We start from the raw sequence: 21901 nt of genomic DNA, 5'->3' as shown, positions 1-21901 counted from the left end.
CAGGATTGTCTTGAGAATTAGATGAGATGATATATGTAAAGTGCTTATAGAGTATCTGGGTTATAATCACTCAATAAATGTTTAATATTATTATGGAGACGAGATTGTTAACCTGTGATACTTCAGATGGCTTATTGTTACAACTTCAATTAATTTAGCAACTGTTAATATATATGTTTATATGTGTACATATATACAGTATATATAATGTCTATATTATATATACAGTATATACTGCTAAATATATACATTTATATATTTATACATATACTGTTAATATACATAAACAAACATTTAGCAGTTGCTAAATGTTAATATGATATAATTACTATAAATTATATAACTATATATTGTTTTATATATAATTATATATCTTTTTAATATATATACACCCATATATACACATGTTCAAGAAAAGGATGAGACTGATCATGATGAAAAAGAATTATAGGGAAATGATGGATCTGGAAACAGGTCAGTGATGACTCCAGATTCTGTCTTGAATGACTGTGGTGGTGATAAGGGCTGCGATGTTACTACACAAGATAGGGATTATAGAAGAATTTTGTTGGGAAGAGCAGATGCTGCCTGTTGTATTTTAAATGCTAGCATGGGAGATTCTGGTGGTTCCTATTTAGCATATAGTTATGAATGTATAGTTTAGGTTACAAGTCAGTGAGTTTCAAATACAGATGATTGTTGAAGTTGTGGAAATCAGATTGTTGGGGGAAAGAAAAATTAGGAAAAAGATGTTCACAGACAAAGCCTTGTGGAATGCTCACATTTAAAGGATAAGAGGAAGAAGAACAAGAAACATAGATTTGAGAAAGAGTAAGAAAAATAAAGGAGTGTAATGTTACAGAAGGCAAGGATAGAATTTTGAGGAAAAGGATGTAGTCCTTGGTACCAAATGCTGAAGAAAATTAGAGTAGAGTGAAGAGTCAGAGAATTGTATTTGGCAATTGCAAGATTATGTGTGACCTTGACAGTACGTTTCAAGAGAATGGGTTGGGCAGAGGTCAAATTGTAATGATTTGAAAAGTGATAATGAGAGAAAAACTGTTTCGAAGTTTAATAGGGAAGGAAAGGGGAATGATGGCACCTTAGCTTGAAGGGAAGGGTTTAGTTGGTGTGCCTTTTTAAAAAACCCTTTCTTTTTTTTAGATAGAAGATTCTAGCATCTTATTAGGGGATCAAGAAAAAAGTCAAGGGTCAGGGAGGAACTCGAAAGATGCAAGGGTATAGGAATAGAGTTAGATCTTAGAGGAACTGAGATGGGATATTAAGAATAAAGACAGTTGGTGAGCCTTGGACAGGAGTAAGGATGTCTGCCACCTCCTTTCAGGTGGTTGGTAAGTTTATATTGGATAGCATCTTCTCAGGGAAGTGGCAGGAAAGCTCTGCTAGAGTGAGAGGATTGAGGTTGGGGATTTAGGTATAGTAAAGGATTGGAAGAAGCCAGTGGAAACTGAGGGTATCAACCAGACATAAAAGAATTACTGAGGCCGGGTGTAGTGGCTCACGCCTGTAATCCCAGCACTTTGGGAGGCCAGCGTGGGCGGATCACAAGGTCAAGAGATCGAGACCATCCTGGCCAACATGGTGAAACCCTGTCTCTACTAAAAATACCAAAATTAGCTGGGCGTGGTGGCACGTGCCTGTAATCCCAGCTACTCGGGAGGCTGAGGCAGGAGAATTGCTTGAACCCAGGAGGTGGAGGTTTCAGTGAGCCGAGATCGTGCCACTGCACTGCAGCTTGGGCGACAGAGTAGACTCCATCTCAAAATAAATAAATAAATAAATAAATAAAAATAATTACTGAGTGAGGCTGAGTGCAGCTGAGTGGGTAAAATCATCATTCTTTACTGACCAACTGAAATAAGGAGAGAAGTGATAGATAAGATATCTTACATAAGGACAAATAGCAGATTCAGTAGGAATAAGAAGGGGTGCAGCATTGTGAAGTTTCAAAGGTAGAATGGTTCTGACTGAAGACCAGTTGCAAGGAATTGCCATGTTTGAGGGTTGTACAGGAGAGTAGAACTAATTATTTACCCCTATAATGGACTTCTAAATTGGTTAATTGCATTGGCTTAGTCTCTAAAGGATAGGTAAAAGCTGTATCTGAGGGACACTGCCTAGCCATGTATAGTGCTCCTACTGTTATGATGTCGTTTTTTCCATGGGAGGAGGATGTTCTTGTTTTTGTAGTTATTGGAAATTTTGAAAGTATGTGGGATTGGCCCTAATGGTGAAACTAATGTTCCTCTTTGTTTTTAGTGGTTACTGCAGCTTCTTTTCACACTAAAGACTCTACTAATAGAAAACCTTTAACCAAAAGTCAGCCCTGTTTGACATCCTTTAATTCTGTGGACATTGCTTCTTCTAAAGCAAAAAAAGGAAAAGAGAAGGAAATTGCAAAACTAAAACGACCCACAGCACTTAAAAAGGTAAACCAAAATCTGGTGGGATATTTATTTTATAGGATGAATAAGGATTTTAATCTGTTTTGTAAAAGTAGGTTGTGGTGTCTTAGCCAACAGATTGTTGTGAGAAGTATTCATACACATGAATCTTGACGATAATGTGTTAATTTGAAGCTCAGGATATCATCAGTATCATGACTATCTTTCTGTGTAGAACGGGGCCCTGGAAAATGAATTATTTCTATAAGGTTAAAAAAAAGATAAATATGTAGTATCCCAAAACATTAAGACTCCAGGAATCAGAAGCCCTGGATTTCAGTATTAACTTCAGTGCTTGCTACACATATCATTTTAGGCAACCATTTTACTCTCATCTTTCTCATCTATAAATTGGGGAGCATATTTGATTTAACTCACTATTGTTAAAAGGGTCAAAATGAGATAATTCGTGTCCAAATAATTGAAAACTGTAGAATGTCAATCAAATGTAACTGTATGACCTGGGTTCCAAACTTTTTAATTTACCCTTTTTTTTTTTGGAAACTCTAGTTTGCCACCTAGGATTTAAAGCATCAGATATGGTTTGATAGCTGTATATTCTATAACATAATTGCTTTTCTTTATTTTGTATGCAGTACTTCCTTCAACTTACAGTGTCTGAAATTACATTTGCCTTTTTGCCAGTTAGCCAAACTTCTCATGTTCATGTTTAAGTGAACTACCATACCTGTGTTATAATGTATATTGTCATCATTTGTACACAGTTGAAGAGTAATCTGTAATTAAAGACTAGTGTAATGACTTTTAGGTTATTTTAAAAGAAAGAGAGGAAAAGAAGGGGCGCTTAACTGTGGACCACAATCTTTTGGGATCCGAGGAACCAACAGAAATGCACTTAGATTTTATTGATGACTTGCCACAGGAGATTGTTTCCCAGGAAGGTAAGGAGCTCCCCCTTTCTCCTCTTCTCATGGAATGGTCTGAAATATTTTAATAGATACGTAAGCTATCACTAGTTAATGCTCCTGATTGGAAGACGTGCTCCATATTTTACATAAATCTCTTTATTCTTCAGAGTGGTTTCTTTTAAAGATGCTTTTGTAGGGAGATGGTTAAAGAGAAGGGGACAGGTATTATATAGTAGGCCTATGACATTTTTGAGGCTTAAATCCTGAATTTGTAGTGAATTCTCAAAATTAAGATGTCACGAATGCATGGGATCTCTGGAATTGTCACAAGTATTTTCATTTTGTTTTCTTTTACGTCCAAAATACTGTTGGCTATCTTTCTTTTTAGGGCTACTTTTCATTGAGTCATTTTTGTTGATTTTCTTGCTTTCATGGAATTAATACATATGTCACAATGAATGCAATTGCAAAGCAGAATCTAGTTGGTCGATAAGATTCAGTGTCATACAGTAAGTAGCAACACATATGATTCCAGTTGGTAACTTAGTAAAACCGCAGATTTCTTCTAATATTTATACCACCATAAAAGAAAGATTTTTCTGCTAGTATATCTTTATTGCCCAACTTTTTGCAACACATTTAAATCTGGTTTACACATAGATTAAGCAACAATGTTTCATTGTTTTTAGAAAAATGAGTTGATTTCTAAAGATTGTTCACTGGGGACATGTTTGTTTAGGGTTCTGTTTTATTCTCAATTTAATGATTCCCCATGTTTTTAGGTGTAATCATCCATCCATTCATTCAGCAAATGTTTATTGAATGCTTACCCCATGTATTTTAGTAACTAGAGCGGCAGGAGGACGTTGGGGAATGTAATAAAGATATATAGTAGACAGGTCCTGCTGTTGAAGAGCTTACAGCCCAGTAGGAAGGTAAGAAGATACACGTGGGCTGGGCGCAGTGGCTCACGCCTATAATCCCAACACTTTGGTAAGCCAAGATGGGCAGATCACTTGAGCTCAGGAGTTTGAGACCAGCCTGGACAACAAGGCAAAACCCTGTCTCTACAAAAAAATACAAGAATTAACTGGGCATGGTAGCTCATATTTATAGTCCAAGCTACTTGGGGGACTGAAGTGGGAGGATTGGTTGAGCCCAGGAGGTTGAGGCTGCAATGAGTGGAGATCATGCCACTGCACTCCAGCCCGGATGACAAAGTGAGACCCTGTATCAAAAACAAACAAACAAAAAAACCAAAAAAAAACACCATGTGTAGCTTTGCTAATTAATGGACTAGATATACAAATACAAACTAATTTCCTGAGTTTAGCTGTTTAGGAAAGAGGCAATAACTAAACGAAGGAGACAGTAGAGTCAAGAAATGGCATTTAATAATGTGGCTTCTTGAACACAGAAGCAAAGACCAAATAAGAGAGAGACCGGGGTGGTACCTGGAGAATCAGGAGTGGTGTGGAGAGGGTGAGGTAGAATTTGTCATTGCCAGCAATAATGGGAAGTTTTAGATTGTTTAAAAAAAAAAAAGATTTCTAAGAAATAGATGGAAAACTAGAAATGAAGAAGTGAGTAATGTGATCTGGCAAGAGGGGTGTGTGTGTGTGTGTGTGTGTGTGTGTGTCTGCCTCTGTTGTTGCCCAGGCTGGAGTGCAGTAGTGCCATCTTGGCTCACTGCAACCTCCACCTCCGGGTTCAAGCGATTCTCCTGCCTTAGCCTCCCGAGTAGCTGGGACTACAGGCATGTGCCACCACGCCCGGCTAATTTATTTGTATTTTTAGTAGAGATGGGGTTTCACCATGTTGGCTAGACTGGTCTTGAACCCTGGACCTCAAGTAATCTTCTGCCTTGGCCTCCCAAAGTGCTGGGATTACAGGCATGAGCCACCATGCCCGGCCTAAGAGGTGCAGATTTTTTCTCTTTAATTTAAATTCTCTGGGAACACATGTTTTAGGTAATGTGTATTCTTCCTCATCCCTGTGGAGACTTCTGGGCTATGCTTAACTTTTGAGAGAGAGAGGGAATGTTTTTTTTTTAAAGAGATGGAAGTCTCACAACGTTTCTCAGGCTGACCTCAAACTCCCAGATTCAAGCGATTTTCTCGCCTCACCCTCCTGAGTAGCTGGGACCACAGGCATGCACCACCTCACCTGGCTAAGAATATACTTCAACAGACAATAGGAGAATTTAATTTTTGTAGTGTATGGAACATGTTTATTTGTGATATGAAAAATGCCCACCTTATTAGCTTCTGGAAAATTTGGAAATGACCCAAAAGACAATGGCCATTCTAAATTGCATTGATCAACGTAGAACTTTTCAGCATTTGAAGTTTCTAAATTTTTTCCCTTCACTCCACATCTCCACAGATACTGGACTAAGCATGCCCAGTGATACTTCACTCTCTCCAGCAAGTCAGAACTCTCCATACTGTATGACACCTGTGTCACAAGGCTCTCCTGCTAGTTCTGGAATAGGCAGTCCAATGGCATCTTCAACAATAACCAAAATCCACAGCAAAAGATTTAGAGAGTAAGTTTTATACTCATTATTGAGGTTGAATAGTTTAAGGATCTTGATTGTAGTTCTGAATTTAGTATTGTCATTGTTACTCAGTGAGTCAAGCAGACAAAAGACCAGAGATCTTTAACTCCTTTCGGATTTTGTTTAACAGCTGGGTTTATTATTTAAAGCATTGCCTTCTGTCAGCTGTTAGTATTCACGTGAGAGTGATCTGACAGTAAGTATATTCTCTTTATATCAGATAGTATTTCTATTCTAGAAATCTAGACTCTTAATATCTTATATATTAAATGTTGTACTATCAGTTTTCCTCCTACAAATGCTTTTGCTTTTTTGTTTATATTATTGGCCCTTCAAAAGATCACTCTAACCAATTAATAGGTTTCTAAGACCCTATTATATGAAGTGAACCTATTACATAAAGCTATTTGTGCAAGTATTTCTAAGTTCTTAAATTGAGATAACTGGGGGGATCACAGAATATGATACCCCATCTGTGAATAGCTTTAACAGTTATTGCTGTGAAGGATTTTAAGATTTTAACATTTATGTTGATGAATTAATTTTACCTTTAAAAATGACATATGAAAGAATCCCAGGGTGAAAGTATAATCTATGTGAGTCCAAATTACATTGGTTTATTCTGTTCCTTTTCCCTATACCATTGTTTTTGAGCAAATACTTCCTGCCTAGCTTTGGAAAGTTAATTAAATGTCAAATCACAGATGTGGAGCAAATGAAACACTTGGGGGATAAAATGTTACATATGTATGAAATGAACAGCTTGAAGGAAAAAGGGAAAAAAAGAATGAAGAAAATTGCATTTTGGGATGTTCTAGTCTTTGATTGCATTCTTCAATTTGGCACACTTTGACAGTTAAATGTTCCTCAATCTCTGCATTTATATATATTCTTCTGAAGTAGTGTCATTCTTGTACTTATTTAACTATTTTTGACAGAAATACAAAAAATTCCCCTGCAAACTTTTTTGCACTAAAGAAGAACAGGCACAGATTTTCCCACTACATAATATAAAAGTAGAAATTTGCTTGCCTTGGTTATTCATAGATAAGAAACACCAATTCTCCCTATTAAGTACCTGCTTATGGTAGACATGAGGGGTGATTACTAGAAAAGATGGAAAGAGTATACAGGAGAAGTATATACTTAGATGACTTCTTTGTCCCAGAAATTAGGTACTGTAGTGGCCTCACGCTTCTGACTTTCTGTGTCTCACACTATAGTCATACATAATCTCAGAGAGCCCTACTCATTTGCTTTGTCTGATGTAAAGGCATGTGATTTTTACCTCATGACCTCTTTGGTTTTGGCTTCAGTTTAATTATTGAGTTCATCCTCCATAGCCATAAATTTTCGGAGCTCTAGGCACTCTTGAGGCCATTTTACCTAGCTCCTTACTTTTATGACTGAGAAAGCCAGTGCCCAGAAATCTATCCAAGCCCAGAGGAGGAATTGTTGGTAATAGGACATTCAGTTAGAAATTGTATATATTTCCTACTAGAAGCATCTTCAGTAACTCTTTACCAAAATCATTATGTTTGTTTTTATCTAATAGCAGGTTGTCATTTGGTTTATATCCTTAGGAATTTAATAATTAGTAATTCTGATAGTCTTTACCTTAGGTTAACTTATCCTTTACATAAAATCTATCTGAATTGAGCTCGGCAAAGCTGCTGTAGCCAGACTGCCTCTTTAGATTCCTCCTCTCTGGGCAGGGCATCTCTGAAAGAAAGACAGCAGCCCTGGTCACGGGCTTACAGATAAAACTCCCATCTGCCTGGGACAGAGCATCTTGGGGAAGGGGCAGCTGTGGACGCAGCTTCAGCAGAGTTAAATGTTCCTGTCTGCTGGCTCTGAAAGGAGCAGTGGATCTCCCAGCACAGCGTTCAAGCTCTGCTAAGGGACAGACTGCCTCTTCAAGTGGGTCCCTGACCCCTGTGCCTCCTGAATAGGAGATACCTCCCAGCAGGGGTTGACAGACTCCTCATACAGGGCAGCTCCACTGGCATTTGGTGGGTACCCCTCTGGGATGAAGCTCCAGAGGAAGGAACAGGCAGGAATCTTTGCTGTTCTGTAGCCTCCGCTGGTGATACCCAGGCAAAAAGGGTCTGGAGTGGACCTCCAGCAAACTCCAGCAGACCTGCAGCAGAGGGACCTGACTGTTAGAAGGAAAACTAGCAAACAGAAAGGAATAGCATCAACATCAACAAAAAGGATGTCCACACAAAAACCCCACCGAAGGTCACCAATATCAAAGACCAAAGATAGATAAATCCACGAAGATGAGGAAAAACCAGCGCAAAAAGGCTGAAAATTGCAAAAACCAGAATACCTCTTCTCCTCCAAAGGATCACAACTCCTCGCCAGCAAGGGAACAAAACTAGACGGAGAATGAGTTTGACAAATTGACGGAAGTAGGCTTCAGAAGGTGGGTAATAACAAACTCCTCCGAGCTAAAGGAGTATGTTCTAATTCAATGTTAACAAACTCCTCCGAGCTAAAGGAGTATGTTCTAATTCAATGCAGGGAAGCTAAGAACCTTGAAAAAAGGTTAGAGGAATTGCTAACTAGAATAACCAGTTTAAAGAATAACATAATAAATTACCTGATGGAGCTGAAAAACAGCACGAGAACTTCCTGAAGCATACACAAGTATCAACAGCTGAATCGATCAAGCGGAAGAAAGGATATCAGTGATTGAAGATCAAATTAATGAAATAAATCGTGAAGACAAGGTTAGAGAAAAAATAATGAAAAGGAATGAACAAAGCCTCCAAGAAATATGGGTCTATATGAAAAGACCAAACCTACGTTAGATTGGTGTACCTGAAAGTGACGAGGAGAATGGAACCAAGTTGGAAAACACTCTTCAGGATATTATCCAGGAGAACTTCCCCAACCTAGCAGGACAGGCCAACATTCAAATGCAGGTAATACAGAGAACACCACAAAGATACTCCTTGAGAAGAACAAACCCAAGAGACAAAGCATCAGATTCACCAAGGTTGAAATGAAGGAAAAAATGTTAAAGGCAGCCAGAGAGAAAGGTCGGGTTACCCAGAAAGGTAAGGCCATCAGTCTAACAGCGGGTCTCTCTGCAGAAACCCTACAAGCCAGAAGAGAGTGGGGCCAATATTCAACGTTCTTAGAAGAATTTTCAATCCAGAATTTCAAATTCAGCCAAACTAAGCTTCATAAACAAAGGAGAAATAAAATCCTATACAGACAAGTAAATGCTGAGAGATTTTGTCACCACCATGCCTGCCTTACAAGAGCTCCTGAAGGAAGCACTAAATATGGAAAGGAAAAACCGGTACCAGCCACTGCAAAAACATACCAAATTGTAAAGACCGTCAACACTATGAAGAAACTGCATCAACTGAGGGGCAAAATAACCAGCTAGCATCATAATGACAGGATCAGATTCACACATAACAATATTAATTGTAAATGTGAATGGGCTAAATGCCCCAATTAAAAGACACAGACTGTCAAATTGGATAAAGAGTCAAGACCCATTGGTGTCCTGTATTCAGGAGACCCATCTCACGTGCAAAGACACACATAGGCTCAAAATAAAAGGATGGAGGAATATTTACCAAGCAAATGGAAAGCAAAAAAAAAAAAAAAAAAAAAAAAAAAAGCAGGGGTTGCAATTCTAGTCTCTGATAAAACAGACTTTAAACCAACAAAGATCAAGAGAGACAAAGAAGGGCATTACATAATGGTAAAGGGATCAATGCATCAAGATGAGGTAACTATCCCAAATGTATATGCACCCAATACAAGAGCACCCAGATTCATAAAGCAAGTCCTTAGAGACCTACAGAGAGACTTAGACTCCTACACAAAAATAGTGGGAGACTTTTTTTTTGAGATGGAGTCTGGGTCTGTCACCCAGGCTGGAGTGCAGTGGCGCGATCTCGGCTTATTGCAACCTCCACCTCCTGAGTTCAAGTGATTCTCTTGCTTCAGCCTCCTGAGTAGGTGGGACTACAGGCCTGTGCCACCATGCCTGGCTAATTTTTGTATTTTTAGTAGAGACAGGATTTCGCCATGTTGGCCAGGCTGGTCTCAAAGTTCTGACCTCAGGTGATCCACCTGCCTTAGTCTCACAAAGTGCTGGGATTACAGGCGTGAGCCACTGCGCCCAGCCAATAGTGGGAGACTTTAACACCCCACTGTCAATATTAGACATCAACGAGACAGAAAATTAATAAGGATATTCAGGACTTGAACTCAGCTCTGGATGAAGCAGACCTGTTAGACATCTACAGAACTCTCCACCCCAAATCACAGAATATACATTCTTCTCAGCACCACATTGCACTTATTCTAAAATTGACCACATAATTGGATGTAAAACACTCCTCAGCAAATGCAGAAGAATGGAAATTGTAACAAACAGTCTCTCAAAACAAGTGCAATCAAATTAGAATTCAGGATTAATAAACTCACTCAAAACTGCACAACTACGTGGAAACTGAGCAACCTGTTCCTGAATGACTACTGGGTAAATAACGAAATTAAGGCAGAGATAAATAAGTTCTTTGAAACCAATGAGAACAAAGACACAACGTACTAGAATCTCTGGGACACAGCTAAAGCAGTGTTTAGAGGGAAATTTATAGCACTAAAATGCCCACAGGAGAAAGTAGGAAAGATCTAAAATCAACACTCTTACATCACAATTAAAAGAACTAGAGAAGCAAGAGCAAACACATTCAAAAGCTAGCAGAAGACAAGAAATAACTAAGATCAGAGCAGAACTGAAGGAGATAGAGACACAAAAAACCCTTCAAACAGTCAATGAATCTAGGAGCTGGTTTTTTGAAAAGATTAACAAAATAGACTGCTAGCCAGACTAATAGAAAAGAGAGAAGAATCAAATAGACACAATAAAAAATGATAAAGGGAAGATCACAACTGATCCCACAGAAATACAAACTGCCATCAGAGAATACTATAAACAGCTCTATACAAATAAACAAGAAAATCTAGAAGAAATGGATAAATTCCTGGACACATACACCCTCCCAAGACTAAACCAGGAAGAAGTCGAATCCCTGAATAGAGCAATAACAAGTTCTGAAATTGAGGCAGTAACTAATATCCTACCAACCAAAAAAAGCCTAGAACCAGACATATTCACAGCCGAATTCTGCCAGAGTTACAAAGAGGAGCTGGTACCATTCCTTCTGAAACTATTCCAAACAATAGAAAAAGAGGGACTCCTACCTAACTCATTTTATGAGGCCAGCATCATCCTGATACCAAAACCTGGCAGAGACACAACAAAAAAAGAAAATTTCAGGCCAGTATCCCTGATGAACATCGATGCGGAAATCCTCAATAAAATACTGGCAAACCGAATTTAGCAGCACATCAAAAAGCTTATCGACCACGATCAAGTCGGCTTCATCTCTTGGATGCAAGGCTGGTTTACCATATGGCAATCAGTAAACGTAATCCATCACATAAACAGATCCAATGATAAAACTCACATGATTATCTCAGTAGATGCAGAAGAGGCCCTCGATAAAATTCAACAGCCCTTCGTGCTAAAAACTCTCAATAAACTAGGTATTGATGGAGTGTATCTCAAAATAATAAGAGCTATTTATGACAAACCCACAGCCAATATCATACTGAATGGGCAAAAGCTGGAAGCATTCCCTTTGAAAACCAGCACAAGACAAGGATGCCCTCTCTCACTGCTCCTATTCAACATAGTGTTGGAAGTTCTGGCCAGGGCAATCAGGCAAGAGAAAGAAATAAAGGGTATTCAAATAGAAAGAGAGGAAGTCAAATTGTCTCTGTTTGCAGATGACATGATTGTATATTTTGAAAACCCCATTGTCTCATCCCCAAATCTCCTTAAGCTGATAAGCAACTTCAGCAAAGTCTCAGGCTACAAAATCAATGTGCAAAAATCACAAGCATTCCTACACACCAATAATAGCCAAATAATGAGTGAACTCCCATTCACAATTGCCACAAAGAGAATAAAATACCTAGGAATCCAACTTACAAGGGATGTGAAGGAACTCTTCAAGGAGAATTACAAACCACTGCTCAAGGAAATAAGAGAGGACACAAACAAATTGAAAAACATTCCATGCTCACGGATAGGAAGAATCAATATTGTGAAAATGGCCATACTGCCCAAAGTAATTTATAGATTCAGTGCTATCCCCATCAAGCTACCATTGACTTTCTTCACAGAATTAGAAAAAACTACTTTAAACTTCATATGGAACCAAAAAAGAGCCCATATAGCCAAGACAATCCTAAGCAAAAAGAACAAAGCTGGAGGCATTACACTACCTGACTTCAAACTTTACAAGGCTACAGTAACCAAAACAGCATGGTACTGGTACCAAAACAGATACATAGACCGATGGAAGAGACCAGAGGCCTCAGAAATAACTCCACACATCTACAACCATCTGATCTTTGACAAATCTGACAAAAACAAGCAATGGGGAAAGGATTCCTTATTTAATAAATGGTGTTGGGAAAACTGGCTAGCCATATGTAGAAAACTGAAATGGGGCCCCTTTCTTACACCTTATACAAAAATTAACTCAAGATGAATTAATGGCTTAAAACATAAAACCTAAAACCATAAAAACCCTGGAAGAAAACCTAGGCAATACCATTCAGGACATAGGCATGGGGCAAAGAGTTCATGACTAAAACACCAAAAGCAATGGCAACAAAAGCCAAAATTGACAGATGGGATCTAGTTAAACTGAAGAGCTTCTACACAGCAAAAGAAACTATCGTCAGAGTGAATAGGCAACCTATACGATGGGAGAAAGTTTTTGCAATCTATCCATCTGACCAAGGGGTAATATCCAGAATCTACAAAGAACTTAAACAAATTTATAAGAAAAAACAACCCCATCAAAAAGTGGGCGAAGGATACGAGCAGATACTTCTCAAAAGAAGACGTTTATGCGGTCAAGAAACGTATGAAAAACTCATCATCACTGGTCATTAGAGAAATGCAAATCAAAACCACAATGAGATACCATCTCATGCCAGTTAGAATAGCAATCATTAAAAAGTCAGGAAACGAGACACTGGAGAGGATGCGGAGAAATAGGAATGCTTTTACACTTTTGGTGTGAGTGTAAATTAGTTCAACCATTGTGAAAGACAGTGTGTCGATTCCTCAAGGATCTAGAATCAGAACCATTTGACCCAGCAGTCCCATTACTGGGTATATACCCAAAGGATTCTAAAGCATGCTGCTATAAAGAGACATGCACACATATGTTTATTGCAGCACTATTCACAATAGCAAAGACTTGGAACCAACCCAAATGCTCATCAATGATAGACTGGATAAAGAAAATGTGGCACATACACACCATGGAATACTATATAGCCATAAAAAAGGATGAGTTCATGTTCTTTGCAGGGACATGGATGAAGCTGGAAACCATGATTCTCAGCAAACTAACACAGGAACAGAAAACCAAACACTGCATGTTTTCACGCATAAGTAGGAGTTGAACAGTTAGAACACATGGACACAGGGAGGGGAACATCACACACCGGGGCCTGTCGGGGTGGGAGGCTAGGGGAGGGATAGCATTAGGAGAAATACCTAATGTAGATGACGGGTTGATGGGTGCAGCAAACCACCATGACACGTGTATACCTATGTAACAAACCTGCATGTTCTGCACCTGTATCCCAGAACTTAAAGGATAATTAAGAAAAAAAAAAAAAAGAATACGATGTGGAAGACAACAAATATATTTGTTAATTTATCAGATATTTTTGAGTGTTTAGTATGTGCCTTTTTCTAGGTGATGGGGATAAAGTGATAAACCAGTATCATAATAAAAGCAAGCATTTGTTGAATACTTAAAAAAATCTATTTGAAATGCAGAAACAAGGAATATCTGTATCACTCTTCTGTTTTTGTAAATGACTGAAGGATTTAAGAAGTTTTAAACACTTCTTTAAGAGACTTTTCATGAAAACTTCTTACCATATATATTTTCTCTTAGAGATATTTTCTTAATGCAGTTTTATAACTATAGGGAAAAAAATTAGGATGGAGTTACCCATTTTGGTTTTTTTTTACAGGTATTGTAATCAGGTTCTTTGTAAAGAGATTGATGAATGTGTGACTCTTCTTCTCCAAGAGCTTGTCAGTTTCCAGGAACGCATCTACCAAAAAGATCCTGTAAGAGCAAAAGCAAGGAGACGACTCGTTATGGGTCTAAGAGAAGTTACCAAACATATGAAGTTAAACAAGATCAAGTGTGTTATAATTTCTCCAAACTGTGAAAAAATCCAGTCAAAAGGTATGCGCTTTTTGCTTTTGAAGTGTTTTGATAGTATAGCTGTGGGATATACAGTGAATATAAAGTAGAAGCCATATGTCTTTCTCATCAGAGTTTAGGTATAAAACAATATTGGAGCATGAGAAAAGAAAATGCAGTCTTTCAATACCTGAAATTAAGTAGTAGAATTGAGACTGGATTGTAAATAAAATCCTCATGTATGAACACCAGTGGAAGATTTCAGTTTGGCCCACCAACTGTCCCTTCTGTTGTGATCAGATGGAGGTCTAGCCAGAATGCATTTCTTCGGCAAATATATTCTGCTTTTAAAATTTTATGGTGGTGATTTGTCTCTGAGAAACCAGCAGTTTCATTTAGAGGCACTTAGGCAAACCAGCACACAAGTACTTTGAACTACATCATGCATCCTTATTTGTCCTTTTCGATGGGCAACTTTAGGTGACTGTAGTAGACAAAGCAGGTAGTAGTAGTAGGCATATGCATGGCGAGGAATATCAGTGAGACCAGTAATGTGTAATCGATCTCATTGCATTGTGAGAGATCTTTTCTTGAGCTGAAACATTTGCAAGTCAGCCACTATTGACAATTTTAATTAATTTCTTTATTATAAATATTTGTTGAATTGCAGTTTGATTGCTGCTATGCTAATCCCTATGGAGAAAGAAAAATACTGGATTTGAGGGAATTTGGAATTTAATAGGGGAGAAAGAAAATACATATATACTTCCATATATTGTATAAAATTAAATAGGATAATGTGTAACAGCGTTAAGTGCTACAAGTGTTCATAGAATTCTTTGCTGCGATGTTTTATGCTTTAGCTATCGGGTGTGCAATTAGCTCCATGTAGGCAACAACTAAAGGCGTCTGCATGTGTTGATTTTCTCAGGTGGTCTGGATGAGGCTCTCTATAATGTTATAGCCATGGCACGGGAACAAGAAATTCCTTTTGTGTTTGCCCTTGGAAGGAAAGCTCTAGGACGCTGTGTGAACAAGCTGGTTCCTGTTAGCGTAGTGGGAATCTTCAACTACTTTGGTGCTGAGGTAAGAATTTAGAAGACACACACTCTTGCTCTCCAGCACATCCCCCAGATAGCACATTTTTCGATTGACATATGCCAGTGTTATGTTTAAGCATTTGAAGGAGTGAGTTGACAACCCTGAAAGAATAAATGGAAATTTTTTGAGTATTACATTTCCTTTTTTAGTGGTGGAAAAGATTTATGTAGATTAATCCTAAAGCATTTTGAAAAGGTTTTAGTTCGTATTTCTGCCAAAGTGGTTTTTTTCTTCCAGGCTCAACTGCATAGTACTTGGTAATTTATTTTACTGCTGGTTAAAGATATCTGATATTACGTAATGTAATTTCTTCAGTCTCTAGATGGGTATATTTTGTGCTACTAGGAATCAGGAGACAAAAGAATCCTTTAATTGGAAGGGATTTTCCTTTAGAAAATGAAATTTCTAAACCAATTGTCACAATGATTGTACCCATGATACTATCAACCATCATCTCTTTGGCAATCTGCTAATATAGATCTTTATCATAGGAGCTGATAATGTAATGGTTATCAATTTAGAGTAATGCTCATCAACTGTAGTGTTTAAGACTGTTTTTTAACAAAGTTGATTCTGAAGTACTTTGTGATATCAATGACAGACTACTTTTCCCAACCACACTATTTTTGTGTATGTGTCTATCCAGTCACCATGTTTGCATATCCTACATTCCCCTGTCCATTCTGTTTCTTTCCCACCACCCATGAAATTCTCTACCCACCTGCTCTATGAGCATATAAATAATATTTGTGCTCCCACAATAGCCTGTGCTTTTGTCACGTTTAGCATAGCACACTGCCTTGCTGTAGGTTACGTATGTTTCTTTCCCTTTAACTGTGAATTCCTTGGTGACAGGCCCCTTACCTTGTCTTTATATTCCTGACACCTTTCACATTACTTGAGTATAAGCAGGCAATATATGTTTGTTGAATGATATTGTGAGATAGATGTATATCTGCCCACTATGCTAGACTGTATGTGAGAATTTCTTGGTAGCTCATGCCTGTTAGCCCAGTAACTCGGGAGGCTGAGGTGGGAGGAGTGCTTGAGGCCAGGAGTTCCAGACCAGCTTGGTATATTATCAAGTATGTCTATTCACAATGAATGGTAGTGCACCTGTTACTGTTACCATCTGATACAACTAATCTTGGAATTAAGCTTCCAATCTTTACCCTCACATTCAAGGCTTTAATTCCTTGATCCTAGCATCTCTCTTCAGTTTTTCTTCTCTTTCCTTATATTCTTTTATTCCTAACAATTTCTTTCTTTCTTTTATATTGTAAAACCAATGTTAAACTCACATATCCATTTGCATATTTTCTTTTTATTGTTTTCACTTCAGTGCATGGTTTGTTAAACACTGAAAATATTTGTCAAGCCTGTTACATGTAACCACATAGGGGCTATTGTTTTTTGTTTTTAACAGAATTTGTCCTTCCTTTTTAAAAATAATAAATCCTGATTATATTTTTTACACTACTAATAGGTAACACCCACCACTCTTCAAAAATCAATACAATTAGCAGCATCCTATATTATACCTGCTATTTTAAACAATTTAAAATGCAGCTGGATAAAGGATGCTACTTATATTTTTCCCTCTTGAGATGAATCTTCAGAGACTTATTATTCTACAGCAATGTAGCACTTTTTGCCATGCTTTCATCTCAAGGTTTGTACTTACTATAAAATTAAACAGATTCTCAAAAATGTCCAGGTTATGTTTAATTCTTTGAAATTCTTAATGTTGTGAGTATGTTGCATTGTGATACTAAATTGGACATTTAACAGGAATGGGATGCTATAGAATTATGGCATAACTAAAAGTCATATAGATTGGCCTTCTGGTGGCTGTAGAAACTTAAATCTTTGGACATCATTCGGTATCATGGTTATTGAAGTGCAACTTTAATGCTATATGTATTTTGCCATCTTATTATTTTTTTTTGAGGCAGAGGTTCACTCTTGTTGCCCAGGCTGGAGTGCAATGGCATGATCTCGGCTCACCACAACCTCCACCTCCCGGTTTCAAGTGATTCTCCTGCCTCAGCCTCCCGAGTAGCTGGGATTACAGGCATGCACCACCACGCCCAGCTAATTTTGTATTTTTAGTAGAGATGGTGTTTCTCCATGTTGGTCACGCTGGTCTCAAACTCCTGACCTCTCTTGCCTTGGCCTCCCAAAGTGGTGGGATTACAGGCATGAGCCACTGTGCCCAGCTGAATTTTGCCATCTCATTAGATGTGAATATGCTCAGTGTACCTACCACTTCACGGAAACTATTTATTTTGTTCCTATGTTTGTTTCAGCAATGAAAGAACATCTGGTTTTTTAGCTCCATATTCTACTTCCAAGCTCTATATTCTAATTTGCATTTGGCCCAGTAGTCATGCTTTTCTATCTTGTGTTATCTTTTCATCATCTTCAAGGTCCTAGCTCTCCATATTATCACCAACTTACTTTTGGTCTTCGTCTAGTTATTCCAAAAAGTAAACATTACAGAAAAATTTAATTCCTATAGAGACTGCCATCTTCTTCTACATTCCTGAACATCACTCAGAATACACTCACTCCTTTATATTCTAACCCAGATAAAATCTTTACTGCTCCCCTAACAAGCCTTATACTTTTCTTATGTCTGTAGCTTTATTAATGATTTTGCATATTTGGCTTTGAAGGCCCTGATTTCACCCCTCAAAATTGTACCTTTTTCAAGGCCAATGCTGATGTCATCTTCCCTTCATGACTTCCTCAGTGATGCCCAGCAGTTTAGAGTTGATGCCTCAACTAAAGCCATAACACTTTACACCTCTCAAGGCATGTAAGGTGTTATGCCTTGCATTATAGGTGTCTCTTACCATCTTTTTCTAGCCACATAGAAGGTTCCTTGAGAGTAGAGTTGATGTTCAGTCATCTTTGTACCCTCTGTAGTGGCAGACACTAAAGGAAGAGTACACTTGTTGAATAGTGTAAGAACTTTTAATATATCACATTTAGTGGCTAGTGTTGGAATCAAGAAATTTCCTCAGACTTGACTTGTGAGAATTAAATAAACAGTAAATGTAAGTTACAGAGTAATTTCATAAGGTTCTGTGGTTTGCATACCATTTGGATTTTGTCCTCATTGAAAGTGTCTGACCCTGAAACAAACAGTAGAGATATTTATTATCCATAATAGGAATAAAAAGTGTAACAAAAAAATGGATTAATCAAAATACTCTTTCTTTTCAGAGCCTGTTTAATAAATTAGTAGAACTCACTGAGGAGGCCAGGAAAGCATATAAAGATATGGTTGCAGCAATGGAACAGGAGCAGGCTGAGGAAGCCTTAAAGAATGTGAAGAAGGTACCACACCACATGGGACATTCTCGGAATCCCTCTGCAGCAAGTGCCATTTCTTTCTGCAGTGTTATTTCTGAACCGATCTCTGAAGTAAATGAAAAGGAATATGGTAAGTTGTTGAATACTATTTTAAATGACTTAAACCATGAGATGATTTAAATGACTTTCTATTCTACCTTTTATTTTTAATCTTTATTCTTGATTATTCAAATGTTGCTCGAAATTTGGTTTAAAACATTGCATTAAACATGTTCATTAAAAATCAGGAGAATATTTGGGACTGAGACTTCTTATGAGACCCCAGAATTTAATCACAGTTCCAAATCTTTATAAAAAGCCTCAGGGGCTTTAAAAAGCAAAACACACCATACTTGTGACCTATCACTAACTAAACATTAGGAAGTTTTATTCCAATACTTTATGCTCAGTTACTAAAATTTTATATTTCCTAAGGGCTGGTCTGAAGGTAGTGAGTTATCTAATTTGTTCACAGTCAGTTATAGATCAATCTCTTTGTTCTGCTCTTTCCCCCCTTTTCACTACTGCACTTGACTATAGTCTTAAAAAGAAAAAAATAAATTTAAAAAAACTTTAAATGTTGTATTTACTAAGTAAACTACAGACGTGAATAATATTCACTCTAGGCTTATAAAACCTAGCATGCTGTTTGCCTTAAGTAGTCTGATTGTAATCAAGAAGAGATACAGACTAAAAAATAGTATTTAATGTTTAACATTTATTTATTGAAGTCTACATCTCAGTAGTTTCTTTGCCTTATTTCTATAATACTTTGAGCTCTTGAGTTCTCTTTCTTGGTTTAGTTTATGATTTGTTTTCCCTATGTAACTTCCTTTCTTCTTTTTTTAAAATTTTAAATAGTATAGCCACCTTCTTTCATTTGGCTCTTTGTTCGTTCTTTTTTTCTTTTCTCTGGGAGGTTATCAGATAGCTTGTTGCCACCTAAAATTTAACGTGTAAAAAAAACTGAGCCCTCATTTTCTTCCCATATTCTCCTTCCTGGCCTCCCTGTCTGTGATTGTAGTTAGATGTTTGGAATGCTTTCAGTAAAGCTCCAGAGCAGAGGCAATTAACAAGCTGTTGTGGGCCCTTAGGAAACTGTTGGCCAGGGATGGGTGATACTGGTTTAGAGGCAGACATGTTTCTTTTGCAGGAGTGATACTAGTTGAAAATTAAGAAGATAAAGGGAAAGTGCTAACATTGTAAATGAGCACGATCCTCTCTATATAGTGAAATGCCGCATCTCAAAGGCAAGCCATAAGAGAAACCTGTAAAGCTGTGGGTTTGGACAGATGACAGAGTAACAAATGATATGGGCACATATAAACACAAGTAGTATAAAACGAAAGTCTCAGAGATTGAGGTGATGTTTTCAGAAAGCACCAGATTCAAAGTGTTCAAAGATTGAAGCCTTGGTTTTTCTATACTCTGCCTAAAGGTTTTAGGTGTAATCAGTTAATCTCGGGGTCTTGGATTTCTCCTTAGAAAAAAAAACTGTTGAAATGTTAATGTGCATCTAAAATTTTTAAACATTTTGTGCCTTTAAAATTTTTTTTCATAATTAAATATATGTGGGAAAATTTTCACTTACTAGACTGTTTTTTTTTTTTTTTTTCCCCAGCACTTACTATATACCAGTCATAGGGACACAGAGATGAGCTGGAGTGGAAGTGAGGAGGGATGAGGAAGGTGAAACAGCAAACACAAAACAAGGCTTTTGACTGTATATGTAAAAAGTACTGTGGGAGTTCAGGTTAGCGATTGCCTGTCAGGAGTTAGGAAAAACTTCATGAAGGAACTAACATTTAAGAGTGGTTATCAAGATGAATAGGAGTCTGAAGGGGAAAGGAGGAAAACACATCTGCAGAAAGAGTACAGCTGATGTTCCAACTTTAGGGAACAGTGAGAATTTAGATGACACTGAGCATGGAGTGTGTGGCCTATGGCGCAGGGTCAGAAGGCAGTAGGACCAGAATGATAGATAAGGGCCAGATCATGAAGGGCTTTGCTGTGCCACGCCAGGGATTTTGGATTCTATCCTAGGGTGATAAAAAGCCAGTTAGACAATGATATAATCAGTTCACAAAACCGGTTACGAAGATGTTACAAATGAACAGCAAGAAAAAGAAGGCCTGAGCTAAGGGAGTAGTAAACAGATTTAGTAGTTTTTGAGCTACAGGTGTCATGGTATAGTGATGAATTCAGTGGACTAAAGGGATATAATACTAATAAGAGAGAAAAGTAGGATCAAGTGTTACTATAAGGTGTCTTCTGCTTTGAGATTGTGTAAATGATAATGTCATTAGCTGAGAATGAGAATATAGGAGGAGGTGATTTTTTTTTTTTCATAAGGTAGAAATGACAGTGGAAAGGACTCATTCTACACTAAAGTAGCTTCAGGAAAGAAATTTTTTCCCAAACAATGTATCCTGACTTGAAGTGCCCAAAACATGTTCTATATCAATATATAGGCCATAGATGGTGACCATATTGAACATACTAATGTGAATAGGTTTGCTACAACTTGATAAGAATATTATACCTATAAACTGCAAATAGTAGCTGTAATGTCAATATGATAGAATTTTTATTTTTTAAAAAAATTTGAAAAAATACAGGGGTGAGAGATCTTTACTGATTCTTGGTACTTTTTTTGCCTTCAACTGATTTCCTATCATGAGAAATAATTTAGTTTGTCATCACTGTAGTATATAATACTTTTTTTGTCCTCCAAAATCACTTTGTAAGCCAAGCTATATATATATATATATTATAAAACAACCTTTCACAGATGTTAGAAATGCATGGATGGATTCTTTGCTTATAATTGGAAACACATGTCCCATTACAGGCCAAAAGATAATTTAAATAACTTGCTGAGTGAGCATGGTACAAACACATGAATCAGAACTATTATTGCTGGACATCTTGGCTCTTCTATCTCTTGGGTTGTGGGTCCTTGAGCCCATTACACCTCTAGGCTACCAAAAAGTTAGGCAGTTTATTGATTTTCATGAATATATGGATTTTATTTGTGAATGCCAGTGAGCTCCTATTGGTATAAGATCTCTTGCATTCTGAAGCGTTAATATACTTATTTTTACCTCCCTGTTTCTTTATCTTGAATGTACATTTTTGGGAATTATTTTCCCTTTATAACATTTAAATTAGGTTGGGCACAGTGGCTCACACCTGTAATCCCAGCATTTTGGGAGCCCAAGATAGGAGGATAGATTGAGCCCAGGAGGTCAAGGCTGCAGT

The 21901-nt window shown here is 37.6% G+C and overlaps 1 protein-coding gene across 2 annotated transcripts in view; it reads left to right on the top strand.

Moving 5' to 3' along the window:
- SECISBP2L (SECIS binding protein 2 like) overlaps positions 1–21901 on the top strand; it is a 57809-nt gene that overhangs the window by 31349 nt on the left and 4559 nt on the right. For both annotated transcript variants that reach the window (NM_014701.4, NM_001193489.2), the window contains 6 exons: positions 2281–2450; positions 3235–3367; positions 5720–5882; positions 14001–14221; positions 15111–15265; positions 18512–18731. In NM_014701.4, the coding sequence (NP_055516.2) occupies positions 2281–2450; positions 3235–3367; positions 5720–5882; positions 14001–14221; positions 15111–15265; positions 18512–18731 (1062 nt within the window). The remainder of the gene's footprint in view (positions 1–2280; positions 2451–3234; positions 3368–5719; positions 5883–14000; positions 14222–15110; positions 15266–18511; positions 18732–21901) is intronic.

This window comes from Homo sapiens, chromosome 15, assembly GCF_000001405.40.
Source record: "Homo sapiens chromosome 15, GRCh38.p14 Primary Assembly".
In the NCBI taxonomy this organism is placed as follows: Eukaryota; Metazoa; Chordata; class Mammalia; order Primates; family Hominidae; genus Homo; species Homo sapiens.
Note: the sequence above shows the minus strand (reverse complement) of the source record. Positions and strands in the feature narration are given on the sequence as shown.